Consider the following 15063-nt stretch of genomic DNA (forward strand, 5'->3'; position numbering starts at 1 on the left):
CCTCCAGCAACAGGGAGGCACTTCCAGCCCCTGCTCTTGAGCACGTACTGGGTGCCAGGCTCGGTACTGGATGCGTGGATGTACAGTGAATAGGGTGGCATTCTTGCTGCCCTCACTGAGCTAGCTATACTAGTGGTGGACGTCAGGGTGTGACAGGGAAGACTCAACCGAGAAAGAGGCAGATGGTCTGAGTCCAGCAAGAGTGAGGAGAGTTCATGAGGCACCGGGAAGAGGACAGTGTCCTTTTGGAGCCCTGAGGCAGGGACCTGCTTAGCACAGCTGAGTCCCAGGATCCCTGGACTAGCTGGAGCACAATGAGAGGAGGTGGGGGGCGCAGCCGGGCCAGGTCATGTTGGACTCTGTAAGCCACGCTAGGAGAGGCTATAAGCAGAGGGTTCCACAGTGAGGTTGGCATCGCAAAAGAAATACCTGTCTGGCTGCAGATGGAGACAGGGTAGCATGAGTTAGTAGTGGAGAGCAGCTGCAATAGCCCAGGCAAGAAATAAGGAGGCTTGGATGAGGATGGGGGCAGAGAGATGGAAGGGAGCCAATAGAATCCGGATATGTTTTTGAGGGAGAACAGAAAAACCAGTGAGATTGATTTCATGCACAGATTAGGGGCCAAGCACCGTGGCTTACGCCTGCAATCCCAACACTTTGGAAGATGGAGGCGGAAGGATCACCAGAGCCCAGGAGTTTGAAACTTCAAAACCAGCCTGGGCAACATAGCAAGACCCCATCTCTAAAAAAAAAAAAAAAAATTAGCTGGCCCTGGTGGCACACGCCTGTAGTCCCAGCTACTAAGGAGACCAAGACAGGAGAATTACTTGAGTCCTAAAGTCAAGGGTGCAGTGAGCCGTGATTGCACCACTGCACTCCACCTTGGGAGACAGAGCAAGACTTGTCTCAAAAAAAAAAAGAGAGAGAGATTAGGGAAAAAGAAATATCAAGGGTAGCTTCTGGGTTTCTAGCTTAAGCAACCAGTGATGTGTTTTAAACCATGGGGGCAGATTTGATGATAATGAGAGTAGAATTTGAGATGAGAAGGGGGCCTGGACAAGCCCTAAGGAGCTCCAGCATGTGATGGATGTGTGTAGGAGCACGAGCAAAGGAGATGGCGAAGGAGCAACTGGAGAGGTGGCTGGCAAAATAGAAGACAATGCTTCGGCCCGGCGCGGTGGCTCACGCCTGTAATCCCAGCACTTTGGGAGGCCGAGGTGGGCAGAACACGAGGTCAGGAGATCGAGACCATCCTGGCTAACACGGTGAAACCCCGTCTCTACTAAAAATACAAAAAAACATTAGCCAGGCGCAGTGGCAGGTGCCTGTAGTCCCAGCTACTCGGGAGGCTGAGGCAGGAGAATGACGTGAACCCGGAAGGTGGAGCTTGCAGTGAGCCGAGATCATGCCACTGTACTCCAGCCTGGGTGACAGAGTGAGACTCCATCTCAAAAAAAAAAAAGACAGTGCTTCGAGAAGGAAGACACAGTCAACTGGATTGCATGGCACTAAAACGCCAAGTAAGACATATGTTGTATTCAACAATGTAGAGGACATTGCCTGTAAGTTTTGTTGGAATTTCAGACAGAGCAAAGTTAGGCAGAATGAAGCACCAATGGCAGGTTAAGGAGAGATCGTGAGTATGACACAGTGGCCATGGAACTTTGGCCCATGACAGTGACTTACAAGGGCGGTCGGTGGGAGTAGGAGCCTGCGTGCTGGAGAGAGTGCAGATCCAGCCTGCAAACAATTAAAAAACAATAATAAAACTAGGACTAAAAGCCGGCTGCTTTTTACTATCACTGTGCTCTTGGCAATTCTAAACAAAATCTGGAGATTTGGGGTGGAGATAAAATTCTCCTCCCCTCAAAAATCTTTAGTGAGTTTAAATTCCAGTGAGTTTTAGTAGATATGTAGGCAAGCTTTAAATTAGTACACTGTAGTACTTTTCCTTTAGTAAATCTTGTACACCACGTGGACATTAATTCTGAGATCTGCCGGTTATGCAGTGGTTTGCCCACCAAGCGTGGACTCAGCTAACACACCTTCATTTCAAGAGAATGTTCTAATGGTTTGGAATTGTTCAGGCTTGCTCGGGGCACAGTGGAGTCCCTAACCCCCCTGTTCCAACATATTCCTGCATTTAAACAGATTTTAAGACAAAGCAATGGGACTTGAGTTGCTTCAATGCTGTCATTCTGTGTGACCACTTGCGGTTTTATTTTATTTATTTATTTTTTTTTGAGACGGAATTTCACTCCTGTTGCCAGGCTGGAGTGCCATGATGCGATCTCGGCTCACTGCAACCTCCACCTCCCGGGTTCAAGCATTCTCCTGCCTCAGCCTCCCATGTAGTTGAAATTGCAGGCATGCACCACCACATCCAGCTAATGTTTGTATTTTTAGTAGAGACGAGGTTTCACCATGTTGGCCGGGCTGGTCTCGAACTCCTGACCTCAAGCTGAGATTTGCCTGTCTCAGCCTCCCAGAGCGCTGGGATTACAGGTGTGAGCCACTGCACCCGACCTCACTTGCAGTTTATTTGTGTTTTAAAACTTAAAGAGTGAGGTCAGGCGCAGTAGCTCATGCCTGTAATCCCAACACTTTGGGAGGTCGGTCAAGGCAGGTGGATCGCCTGAGGTCAGGAGTTTGAGACCAGCCTGGCCAACATGGTGAAAACCCATGTCTACTAAAAAAACAAAAAAATTAGCTGGGCATGGTGGTGCGCACCTGTAATCCCAGCTACTCAGTAGGCTGAGGCAGGAAAATCGCTTGAACTCGGGAGGTAGAGGTTGCAGTGAGCTGAGATCGTGCCACTGCACTCCAGCCTGGGCGACAGAGAGAGACTCTGTCTCAAAAAAAAAACCTTAGAGAGTGAAACAGAATCCAGACTAGGAAGGGCAATCTTTTTGTCTGGTAAGTGCAAATTTTAGTTCATCCATGAAATGTAAAGAAAATTGTTATGTTAGCAGTATGATTTTATAATTGCCACAATTTCAGTGTACCTTTTGCTGATGATCTTCTTAAAATCCACTTATTAGTTACTGGAGAATTATTTAAATAGACATTTGTTATATAGGGCTATCACCAAAAGACCAAAATTCAAATCATTAAGTAAATATAAAAAATATATAGCAATGGCCGGATGCAGTGGCTCACACCTGTAATCCCAGCACTTTGGGAGGCCGAGGCGGGCGTATCATCTGAAGTCAGGAGTTGAAGACCAGCCTGGCCAACATGGAGAAACCCCGTCTCTACTAAAGATACAAAAATTAGCCCGGCGTGGTGGCAGGCGCCTGTAATCCCAGCTACTTGGGAGACTGAGGCAGGAGAATTGTTTGAACCCGGGAGGCGGAGGTTGCGGTGAGCTGAGATCGCGCCGCTGAACTCCAGCCTGGGCAACAGAACAAGACTCTGTCTCAAAAAAGCAAACAAACCAACAAAAAACCTGTAATAAGAGTAAGTAATTGTGCCCTTTTGTACTGTCATACTTTTGTACTGTGATTGTGTATTTTTAAAGTTCAATAAAAAATTTTCACCATCCACATTTATTTTATTCTTATTGTTTCATTCATTAGTATTAGTGAAGATATTAGGTTGCTGCAGAGGTAATTGCTGGGTTTTTTTTTCTTTGAGATAGAATTTCACTCTTGTTGCCCAGGCTGGAGTGCAATGGCACAATCTCGGCTCACTGCAACCTCTGCCTCCTGGGTTCAAGCGATTCTCCTGCCTCAGCCTCCCGAGCAGCTGGGATTACAGGCATGCGCCACCACGTCCAGCTAATTTTGTATTTTTAGTAGAGACAGGGTTTCTCCATGTTGGTCAGGCTGGTCTCGAACTCCCGACCTCAGGTGATTAGCCCGCCTTGGCCTCCCAAAGTGCTGGGATTACAGGCGTGAGCCACCGTGCCTGGCAGGTAATTGCTGTTTTTGTCATTGAAAGTAGTTTTGTCATATTGAGAAAGGAAGAGTTAAAAAACAAAAAAAAACTCAGAAGAGTTCTATGGGCTTCCAGCCTACTAAGCACACCACTGGTCCAAGGTAAGGGTCCTGGCGGATGTCCAATGTCTGTCATCCCTGGAGATGGGAGAGGAGTTGGGTCTGACAATTGGGACCACCAGACTAAGCCAAGGCCCCTTATGGAGTTGGTGAGAGAAGTTCCGCAAAGGACTGAAACATCTTCAGTGCAGCCTGAATTGGGGAAGGGAAGGACAGGTGGGTGAGGGGAGATCCAGAATGAAAGAGCCCTGAACTGGAGTTTTATGGGAGCTTGGAATGAACTGTTTTCCAATCCTGTGCCCCACCGTGTCCCACGCCACACTAATCCTGTCCCCAGAGGCAGCTACTTTGACTTCTTTTCCAATGTCTTCTTGTATTTAACTCTGTTTTTCCAAATATCATGTTTTCACCTATTTTTGCATTTTTTTTTTCCAATTGCAGGTGTGGTCTACTGATTTTCTACTGTGGAGGATTAGGCTTTGGTTCTCTCCGTCCCCCCCACAATCTCCCCAAAATATTCCACACTGGGGAGAAAAGGAGAAACATTGTTACAGATCCTAGATGTTTATAGGATAGCAGAGGAATATTATGAATAACTTCCTGCCTTTAAATCTAACAATGCAGATAAAATGGACACATTTCTTGAAAGGCACAAATTACAAAACTTCATAGGAGAAACGGGAAATTTGAATAGCCCTACATCTATTAACGAAATTAAATTTTTAATTAAAAACCTTCCCCTACACAAAAAATCCAGGCCCAGATGGCTTCACTTGAGTGAATTCCACTCAAGGAAAAATTACTATCAACCCTACACAAATCCACACTAGAGAAGAAAGCACTTTCCAATTCATTTTATGATAAACAAACTATAGTATACCATAAGGTTGGAATACTACGCAGCAATGAAAACCCACAAACTGCTGACACACAAAGCCACCTAGAGGAGCTCAGAATCATGCAGAGTGAAAGGAGGGTAATGGCCAAGCTAAGCTTTAAAAAAAGAGTTAGTGGTGTGAAGAGGCATGAATGGGAGTGAGCAGAGAGAGATTTTCTCTTTGAGAACAGGAAGCCAGTGACCTAAATGAGTAAAGGTGCCTCCGGCCTTGGCTGCTCCCTGAGATAGAGAACTGGGAGATAGCCGGGCACGGTGGCTCACGCCTGTAATCCCAGCACTTTGGGAGGCCGAGGCAGGTGGATCACAAGGTCAGGAGACCAAGACCATCCTGGCTAACACGGTGAAACCCCGTCTCTACTAAAAATACAAAAAATTAGCTGGACATGGTGGCAGGCGCCTGTAGTCCCAGCTACTCAGGAGGCTGAGCAAGAGAATCACTTGAACCTGGGAGGCAGAGGTTGCAGTGAGCCGTGATCGCGCCACTGCACTCCAGCCTGGGCAACAGAATGAGACTCCATCTCAAAAAAAAAAAAAAAGAGAACTGGGAGGCCATCTTAGGTGACGGGTTTCACTTTGGACACATTGAACATGGGGCCCTGCAGAGCATCCAGTTAGCAGCATTAGAAAGGTAGAGATGGGGGAGTCATTCTTTTGGAGACAGTAGTTTGTTAGTTTGTTTGTTTGTTTATTTTTTGGAGACAGAGTCTCACTCTGCTGCCCAGTCTGGAGTGCAGTGCTGCGATCTCAGCTCACTGCAACTTCTGCCTCCCAGGTTCAAGCGATTCTCCTGCCTCAGCCTCCTGAGTAGCTGCGACTACAGAAATGTGCCACCACGCCTGGCTAATTTTTGTGTTTTTAGTAGAGACGGGGGAGACAGTAGTTTAAATAAGTCCTGGCGTGAATGCCTTACCCAGAGGGGGCATAAAATGAGGGGTCTAAGGCCAGCACCCTGGGAAATGTCAACGTAAGAACTGCCAGGGGAGGAGGATCCAGGAAGGGTCAGTGATGGGGATGACAAAGGGGGTGTCATGGGGAAAAGGGCAGAGGAGGAGGGACTAGTGACCACCTCTGCTCTGAGGTCATGTGGAGCAAGACTGAAAAGAGGCCGGGGATTGGGAAATGAGGCCACTGGTGGCCTTGTCCCTGGCGGCTCTGGGATGTGGGCCAGAAGCCAGTCCCTGGTGTTGAAATAGGATCCAAAGGTGAAGAAGGGAGTGTAGATGTATCTTTAAAATTTGACTGTGGGAGGGAGGGTGGTTTTGGTTTTTGCCATGTTGGTGTTTTAAAAGCAGCAGGGAGTTGAGCTGCTTGTGGACTGGAAGGAAGGAGCCAGCAGACAGGGAGGAGAGGAGGGGAAGTGGGTAGTGAAGGGGAGAGAGAATAGCCAGGGGTGGTGGGCAGAAGGAGAGGAAATGGAACCCTAGAGGCCTGGGCAGGAGGCCTCTTGCTGTTGAGCTGCGGCCGGCTGTATTTTGAGACCTTAACCTTCACCTTCTCAGCTGTGTTGGATGCGGCCTCCAGAGGCCCAGGAGAGGTGGGGATCAGACGGGGTTCAACAGGGAGCCAGAACCATGAGGTCTGTCGTGGAATAAAGGATGTATTCTAGGAGTCAGGCCTCACCCAGCTGTGGCGGGGGTGGAGGGCAAGGAGGACTGCCGAGGGGGCTGGGGTGGGCGTCTTTGGGAGGTGTCTTCTGTGAGTTTGCAGCAAAGGGTCTGGGGTGGGTCTGGGGTGGGCCTGGGGTCGGCCTGGGGTCAGTGTTGGTCAGCAAGGCCAGCCTCACCTTTGCCTCTCAAATCACGGGTGCCTTCCCTCTTGACAACTCTGCCCTGAGACCTACAGGAAGTGGATTCTGAGAAATATGGCTTCCACCGTTACCAAGTGGACCAGCGCTGTCCCATAGAAATAATGCAAGTCACCCGGGCTCCTGGAATCCCAGCACTTTGGGAGGCCGAGGCAGGCGGATCCCTTGAGGCCAGGAGTTTGAGATCAGCCTGGCCAACATGGCGAAACACCATCTCTATCTTTACTAAAAATATAAAAATGAGCTGGGCATGGCGATGCATGCCTGTAATCCCAGGACGTTGCAGTGAGTGAGATGGTGCCACTGCACTCCAGCCGGGGCAACAGAGCAAGACTCTGTATCCAAAAAGAAAAACAAAGAAACAATGCAAGTCACACATGTAATTTAAAATTGTCTAGGCTGGGAGCAGTGGCTGACACCTATAATCCCAGTACTTTGGGAGGCTGAGGCGGGAGGATTGCTTGAGCTCAGGAGTTCAAGACCAGCTGGGGAAACATAGTGAGAACTTGTCTCTATTTTAAAAATTAAAAAAAAAAAATGAGCTGGGCATCGTGGCACATGTCTGTAGTCCCAGCTACTAGGGAGGCTGAGGCTTCTTGAGCCCAGGAGGTAGAGGCTGCAGTGAGCTGAGATCGAACCACTGCACTCCAGCCTCGGCAACAGAGCAAGACCCTGTCACTAAAAAATAAAAATAAATAGGCTGGGCATGGTGGCTCACGCCTGTAACCCCAGCACTTTGGGAGGCTGAGGCTGGCAGATCATGAGGTCAGGAGTTTGAGACCAGCCTCACCAACATGGTGAAACCCCGTCTCTACTAAAAATAGAAAAATTAGTCAGGTGTGGTGGCACACACCTGTAATCCCAGCTACTCGGGAGGCTGAGGCAGGAGAATTGCTTGAACCTGGGAGGCGGAGGTTGCAGTGAGCCGAGATTGCGCCATTGCACTCTAGCCTGGGTGACAGAGTGAAACTCCATCTCAAAAAATAATAAATAAATAAATAAATAAATATAAAAAGAAATAAAAATAAAATTTTCTAGGTGACCCATTTTTTAAGAAGGAAAAAGAAATGGAAAGTTAATTTTAATAATTAAAGACAATATGTCCAAGACATTATCATGTAATGTATAATCATTAGAAAACATTGTTAATGAGATGCTTTATGTTGTGATTTTGCACTAAATCTTTGAAATGTGGTGCCTGTTTCACACTTACAGAACAGCTCAACTCCAAATAGGCGCATTTCCATCGCCTCCATCGCCGCTGTAGCTGGTGGCTGTCAGATTGGACAGCACGGTAGAGGCGGGTCAGGAAATGCAAGGAGAGCACTTTTGGAAGCGTCTGGATCCTGGGCCCTCGGGGAGGGCAGGGCCTGGGTCCTGATGTGAGGAGCCTGGAGCCTGTCCGTGGCCGAGAGGGCCTCCTTCCTCCTTCCTGGCCGACACGTCACCTGCTCCGTCCAGTCCACGAGAAGCAGCTGTGGCCCAAGCCCATGACCTGCCTTTCTTCCCCAGCGTCACCATCTGTGGCAGCCTGGGATACGCATGAGCTCCTCAGGAGGGCGGGTGAGTGGACTTTCCAGCGCGGGCTGGAGGTGATCTCAAAGGGCACAAGGGTTGGAACTGAACCAGCCATGCCAGGGGACGCGGGTTTGGTCGGAGCCCTGTGGGAAGGGAAGGCCCCTCTGCTCCAGGCCCTCCAGGATCTCCAACCATGGCCCAAATGGCCACCATGATGATGCCCACCTACGGGCTTTGGTGCTTCGGGAGTGTCTTGCTGGGTGAAGGGCAGGTCGCTATCAGATGCATCTGTTTAATTTTAGAGCTCCGTGGAACACACATCTGGATGACAGGAGGGAGCCAGGAGCTGTGAGAAGACGGGGGAGCTGCCGCCGCAAGAATGCAAGACCCACGGGCTCTACGATGCGGGGGAGCAGCGGGCATCTGAGGAAGGGGCGTCAGGGGCACATGGCCAGCCCTCTTCACCCCACAGTCTGCCCCAGGCCAGCCCCACTAGGAGTGACCCATTTTCTCCTAGCAGGATTCCTTGCATGGGGTGGCCTGGACCCAAAACACCCGCTCTGAGGATTCCCTGTTAACCACAGAGAAGGTTGACTCAAGTTTCTTTATTTGGCCATGAAACTGTGGGGCATCTCACGGTGCTTCTTGGGTCCACTGGAGAGCCCTGGAAGCTCAGAAGAGGCAAGAGGGGCCTACTTCTCCCTTGTTTGGGCTTTGTTTGCTAAATACCAATATTAGATTAGGCAACTCTGCAAACAAAACCAAGGCCTGGCCAGCTGCCCAGGGTGTTTAAAGTCCAAGACATGAAGGCAGGACGTGTGCCCGTGGACTTGCACACGCAAGCAGGCCGAGGGGAGAGCAGCCCGGCAGAGACCTTGGTGGTCCAGGGCTGAGCAAAGGCTTCCCCCACCGGTCCATCCCAGTGCGCTCAGCACAGGAGTTAGCGGCCACACACTTCAACCATTGTCTTATTTTAGAAAATGACATCTGCTGGGCGCGGTGACTCACGCCTGTAATCCCAGCATTTTGAGAGGGCAAGGTCAGGAGTGATCACTTTGGGTGGACCACGAGGTCAGGAGTTCAAGATCAGCCTGGCCAACATGGTGAAACTCCGTCTCTACTCAAAATACAAAAATTAGCCAGGCGTGGTGGCTCACACTTATAATCCCAGCTACCTGGGAGGCTGAGGCAGGAGAATGGCTTGAACCTGGGAGGCGGAGGTTGTAGTGAGCCGAGACTGCTCCACTGGACTGCAGCCTGGGTGACAGAGCGAGACTCCGTCTCAAAAAAAAAAAAAAAGAAGATGACATCCATGATGTTAATAAAAGCGGAGGTATTAGGGGAAGGGAGACATCCTGTCAACTTTTCATCAGCTCACATTTGACCCTCAGCTTTTTTCTGTTAATCTAGTTATCATATCAACAGCGTTCTCACAAATGACCAAAGACAGTGTCGGTGGCTCTTAGTGTTTGAAAGTAAAAATGTATAATATTTTTAAAATGCCAACAGACTGAAAACAGGAATGAGGCATCATTGGTTGTAAACTGTCTCCTGAGCTGGTAATTCCATCTCCATCTCAAGCAGAAAAAACATACCCGTGTGCCCAGGGGCTCTCACCCCAGCACACCTCTTGCCCACTTAGCCTAGTTGATGGTCAAATTACTGAGTGGAGTTTAAATGCCCTTCAGACTTTATAGGTGGAATTCCTGAAACGCGTCTATCTGGAAGAGGAGAGGTAGTAGTATTGGGAAGGGAACAGGAAGTAGGCGGTGTGGAGTGCTGTTTGTTAAATGCTATCTCTTACCGTCTGTGTTTGTTTCTACTTAGCTTGCCTTATCTCTCTCCTCCCGCCCACTCTGTCATTCAACTACCCAGTTCCCCACCCTGGTTTCTTGTGTATTTTTTTCCAGGAAGACACACACACACACACACATTTATATATATATAAAATAGGCCAGATCCCATCCTTCCTGGGTCCACCCTTCCTGGGCAGCCCCTCAACCCAGCACACAAACACACTGTTATTTTTCTCATCTCAATTCTCAATCCACCCTTGATCTTGTACCCCAATCCAGCCACTGCTCAATTCTTTGCTTTCTTTAAAATACAATTTGTCAAATTATATGTATGTGTGTTGGCAATTACATATATACCTGTATATTTACTCTCCACCCCTCTTTTTTCTTTTCTTTTTTCTTTTTTTTTGATGGAGTCTTGCTCTGTCACCCAGACTGTAGTGCAGTGGCCCAATCTTGGCTCACTGCAACCTCCACCTCCCGGGTTCAAGCGATTCTCCTAGCTCAGCCCCCCAAGTAGCTGGGATTACAGGTGTGTGCCACCATGCCTGGCTAATTTTATTTTTTGTATTTTTAGTAGAGACAGAGTTTCACTATGTTGGCCAGGCTGGTCCCGAACTCCTGGCCTCAAATGATCTGCCCGCCTTGGCCTCCCAAAGTGCTGGGATTACAGGCGTGAGCCACCACACCCAGCCTCTCTTTTTATTTTTTACAAAGATTCTAGCTTAGTACTTCCTTGCATTTTTCACTTTGTCTTGGAGATCATTCCTTATCAGCACATGACCTTTCTTTTATTTTTTATTTTTAAAGGCTTGTCAAGTGAAGCGGTGGGAGTGGAGAAGGAGCAAAGAAATCTGTTAACTGGTTGGGATCGGTGAGTTGTAAGCAGCCGCATAAAGAACATTTCTGTTTTCTTGGATTACAACATGATTTCCATTGTATAGAAATACCGTATTTATTCCGCCAGTCCCCCACCCATAGTCACTTAAGTTGTTTCCAGCCTTCCCAATCTTCTTGCTGTTACAAGGCTGCCACGAATCACCTTGTGTATACTTGATTTTTCTGATAAGTTAAAAAGTCCTAGAGGAGAAATTGCCCAATCCTTTGTGCACCTGTAATTTTGATAAATATTGCTAAGTTGCCTTCCATAAGGTTTGTACCAATTTACACAGCCACCGGCAATGAATGAGAGTGCACTTACCCACACCCCTACCAATGCAATCTGTTAGCAAATTTTCTGAACTTTGCCAATTTGGAGAAAATGGGTATTTCAGCGTAGTTTGAATGTATACTTACTTCTCTTGTGGGAAATTATGTTTAAGAGCCATTTCCTTTTCCGTGAACTATGTTTTAAAAATCTTTTCTGGTTTGTTTGTTTTATTGAGATGGAGTCTCACTCTGTTCCCCAGGCTGGAGTGCAGTGTGGTGCAATCTCAGCTCACTGCAGCCTCCGTCTCCCGGGTTCAAGTGATTCTCCTCCTCAGCCTCCCAAGTAGCTGGGAACTATAGGGTCGCGCCACCACACCCGGCTAATTTTTGTATTTTTAGTGGAGACAGGGTTTCACCAGGTTGGCCAGGCTGGTCTTGAACTCCTGACCTCAAGTGATCTGCCTGCCTTGGCTTCCCAAAGTGCTGGGATTACAGGCATGAGCCACCGTGCTCAGCCTCTTATCTGTTTTTTTATCCTTATCTGTGTTTTCAATCCTTATCTGCTTATTTTAAAGGCTGAAACAAATCCCTAAATGTTAAAAAAAAAAAAAATAGAAAAATTATACAGCAGCACTCTTGTTCTAGCCTCTTATCATGGGATAGCTTCCCATGATTAACTTGAATTATCTTGAGACAAAGACCTGGAGAAGAACAGGGGCACAGGAGTCTCAGAGACTGGGGAGAATCCTGCCCAAGCTGCCCCATTCTCTGGAGGCCTGGCCACAGGGCAGGGCCCAGAGGCTCAGGCTGTCACCACCTTGGGGAAGAGTCCCCTTCTCCAGCTCTGTCCCCCTGACACATGAACACAGCTCCCCTTCAGGCTGACTCTCCTGCCTAGGCCCAGCATCCCATCCTCTCTTGCCTACTGAAAGACACTGTATCTAAAGCTGTCCACTCACTGTCCCCGATCACCAGATCCCACTACTCCTGGATCCCTCCTGGACCCACCCCTCCTGGGTAGCCCCACCAGCACACAAACACACTGTTACTTCTCGCCTCTTATCCACCCTTGATCCTGTAGCCCAATCCAGCCACTGCTCAATTCTTTGCTGTCTTTATTTTTATTATTTTCACTTATTTATTTTTTTGAGACTGAGTCTTGCTCTGTCTCCCAGGCTGGAGCACAGTAGCGCGATCTCAGCTCGCTGCAGCCTCCGCCCCCCAGGTTCAAGCAATTCCCCTGCCTCAGCCTCCCCAGTAGCTGGGATTACAGGCACACACCACAACGCCCAGCCAACTTTTGTTATTTTTAGTAGAGACAGGGTTTTGCCATGTTGGTCAGGCCGGTTTAAACTCCTGACCTCAGGTGATCCGCCCGCCGTGGCCTCCCAAAGTGCTGGGATTACAGGCGTGAGCCACTGCGCCCAGCCTGGCTCTCTTTAAAAATATAATTTCTCAAAAGATTGAAGTTTCTCTCTCCGCCTTCTCTTCTCATAGTCTCTGTTGCAAACCCTCTATATTGCTATTGATTTGTTACGTATGCTTGTTCTGTCAATACCTCTGAGAGGAGTGTCAGAATTTCCAGTTATGATGGTGGAGTTCTTGATTTCTTCTTTGAGTTCTGTCAGTTTTGGCTTCCTGTATTTTTTTTTTTTTTTGAGACAATGTATTAGTCAAGGTTCTCTAGAGGGACACAACTCATAGGATAGATGTATATATGAAGGCGAATTTATTAAGCAGTATTGACTCACACGAAGGCGAAGTTCCACAATAGGCCGTCTACAAGCCGAGGAGCAAGGAGGCCAGTCCGAGTCCCCAAACCTCAAAAGTAGGGAAGCCGACAGTGTAGCCTTCTGTCTGTGGCCAATGGCCCGAGAGTCCCTGTCAAACCACTGGTATAAGTCCAAGAGTCCAAAAGCTGAAGAACTTGTAGTCCAATGTTCAAGGGCAGGAAGCATCCAGCACGGGAGAAAGATGAAGGCTGGAAAACTCAGCCAGTCTGGTTCTTCCACGTTCCTCTGCCTGCTTTTATCCTAGCCGCAGTGGCAGCTGATTAGATGGTGCCCACCCAGATTGAGGGTGGGTCTGCCTCTTCCAGTCCACTAACTCAAATGTTAATTTCCTCTGGCAACACCCTCACAGACACGCTCAGGAACAATATTTTGCATCCTTCAATCCAATCGATCAAGTTGACACGCAATATTAACCATCACAGGCAGGGTCTGGCTCTCTTGCCCAGGCTGGAGTGTAGTGGCACAATCTCAACTCACTGCAACCTCTGCCTCTTGGGCTCAAACGATCCTCCCACTTCAGCCTCCCGAGTAGCTGGGACTACAGGCACATGCCACCGTGCTTGTCTAATTTTCGTATTTTTTATAGAAACAGGGTTTTGCTGTGTTGCCCAGGCTGTTCTCAAAATCCTGGGTTCAAGTGATTCTCATGCCTTGGCCTCCCAAAGTATTGGGATTACAGGCATGAGCCAGGGCGCCCAGCCTGCTTCATGTATTGAAGCTGGGTTCATGTACATTTAGATTATGCCTTCTTGATGAATTGATTTTTTTGTTATGAAATGGTCTTCTTTATTTCTGGTAATATTATTTGTCCTGAAGTACTCTTTGTCTGATACTAATATAGCCACATAAGCATTCTTTGATTAGTGTTTATATGCCATACCTTTTTTCCCCATTCTTTTTACTTTCTTAATTTTGGTGTTCATATTCTTAGAGAGGAGCGTATTATTGGGTCTCATTCTTGTACCCCATGTGATATTCTCTGTTTTTCACTTGTAGTCCATTTATGTTTAATGTAATTGTACATGGGTTTAAGTCTACCATTTTTCTGTATGCCTTGTATTTGTTTCATCTGTTCCTTGTTTCTTTGTTTTTTACTTTTCTTTCTTATTTTGGATTAAGTGTATTTTAGAATTGTCTTTTATGTGCTCTCTTGGCTTTTTTTTTAAAAATAGACTTCATTTTTGAGAGGAGTTTCAGGTTCACAGCAAGATTGAGTAGAAAGCACAGAGAATTCTCACATGGCCCCTGTCCCTCCCCGCCCGCAACTTCCCCCACTACTGACATCCCATAACACTGTGATTTGTTTCTTACAGTCAGTGAACCTACACTGACACTTATTATCTCCACTGACTTTTAAACTTCCTTGTTGTTTGTTTGTTTAAACTTTCTTGTTTGTTTATTTGTTTAGTGTGCTCTAGAGATTGCAATATTCATCTTTAATTTATCATAGACTGCCTTGAATGGATAGTATGTAATTTCCCATATTATGTAAAAACTTTGAACAGAATAGTTTCATTTACACTTTTCCTTCTCTTTGTGCAATTGTTGTCCTATATTTTATTTCTACCTTTGTTATAAACACCACTATTCATCATTATTATTTTTGCTTTCACTAGTTGGTAGGTTTTTTGTTTTTGTTTTTGTTTTTTTTGAGATGGAATCTCACTCTGTCACCCAGGCTGGAGTGCGATGGTACAATCTCGGCTCACTGCAACCTCTACCTCCCGGGTTCAAGCGATTCTCCTGCCTCAGTCTCCTGAGTGGCTGGGATTACAGGCGTGAGCCACCACACCCGGCTAATTTTTGTATTTTTAGTAGAGACGGAGTTTTGCCATGTTGGCCAGGCTGGTCTTGAACTCCTGACCTCAGGTGACCCGCCAGCCTCGGCTTCCCAAAGTGCTGGGATTATACGCGTGAGCCACTGTGCCCAGCCTTAAATAAATTTTTATAAACATCTACTTATTTTTACCATTTCTGGTGTTTTTTATTCCTTCCCCAAAATCTAAGATTCCATTTGGGTCACCTTTTTTTTTTTTTTTTTTTTTTGAGACGGAGTCTCGCTCTGTTGCTCAGGCTGGAGTGCAGTGGCATGGTCTCGGCTCACTGC

General features: G+C 47.4%; 1 long non-coding RNA gene across 1 annotated transcript; it reads left to right on the forward strand.

Annotated features, from left to right (window-relative positions):
• The first annotated feature begins 6023 nt into the window (after window positions 1-6023).
• Window positions 6024-9563, forward strand: LINC02766 (long intergenic non-protein coding RNA 2766). The gene is made up of 3 exons (NR_187319.1): window positions 6024-6098; window positions 7916-8263; window positions 8521-9563. It is a non-coding gene; the product is annotated as a long intergenic non-protein coding RNA 2766 (long non-coding RNA).
• The last annotated feature ends 5500 nt before the right edge of the window (window positions 9564-15063 follow it).

This window comes from Homo sapiens, chromosome 1 (assembly GCF_000001405.40).
Source record: "Homo sapiens chromosome 1, GRCh38.p14 Primary Assembly".
Classification (NCBI taxonomy): Eukaryota; Metazoa; Chordata; class Mammalia; order Primates; family Hominidae; genus Homo; species Homo sapiens.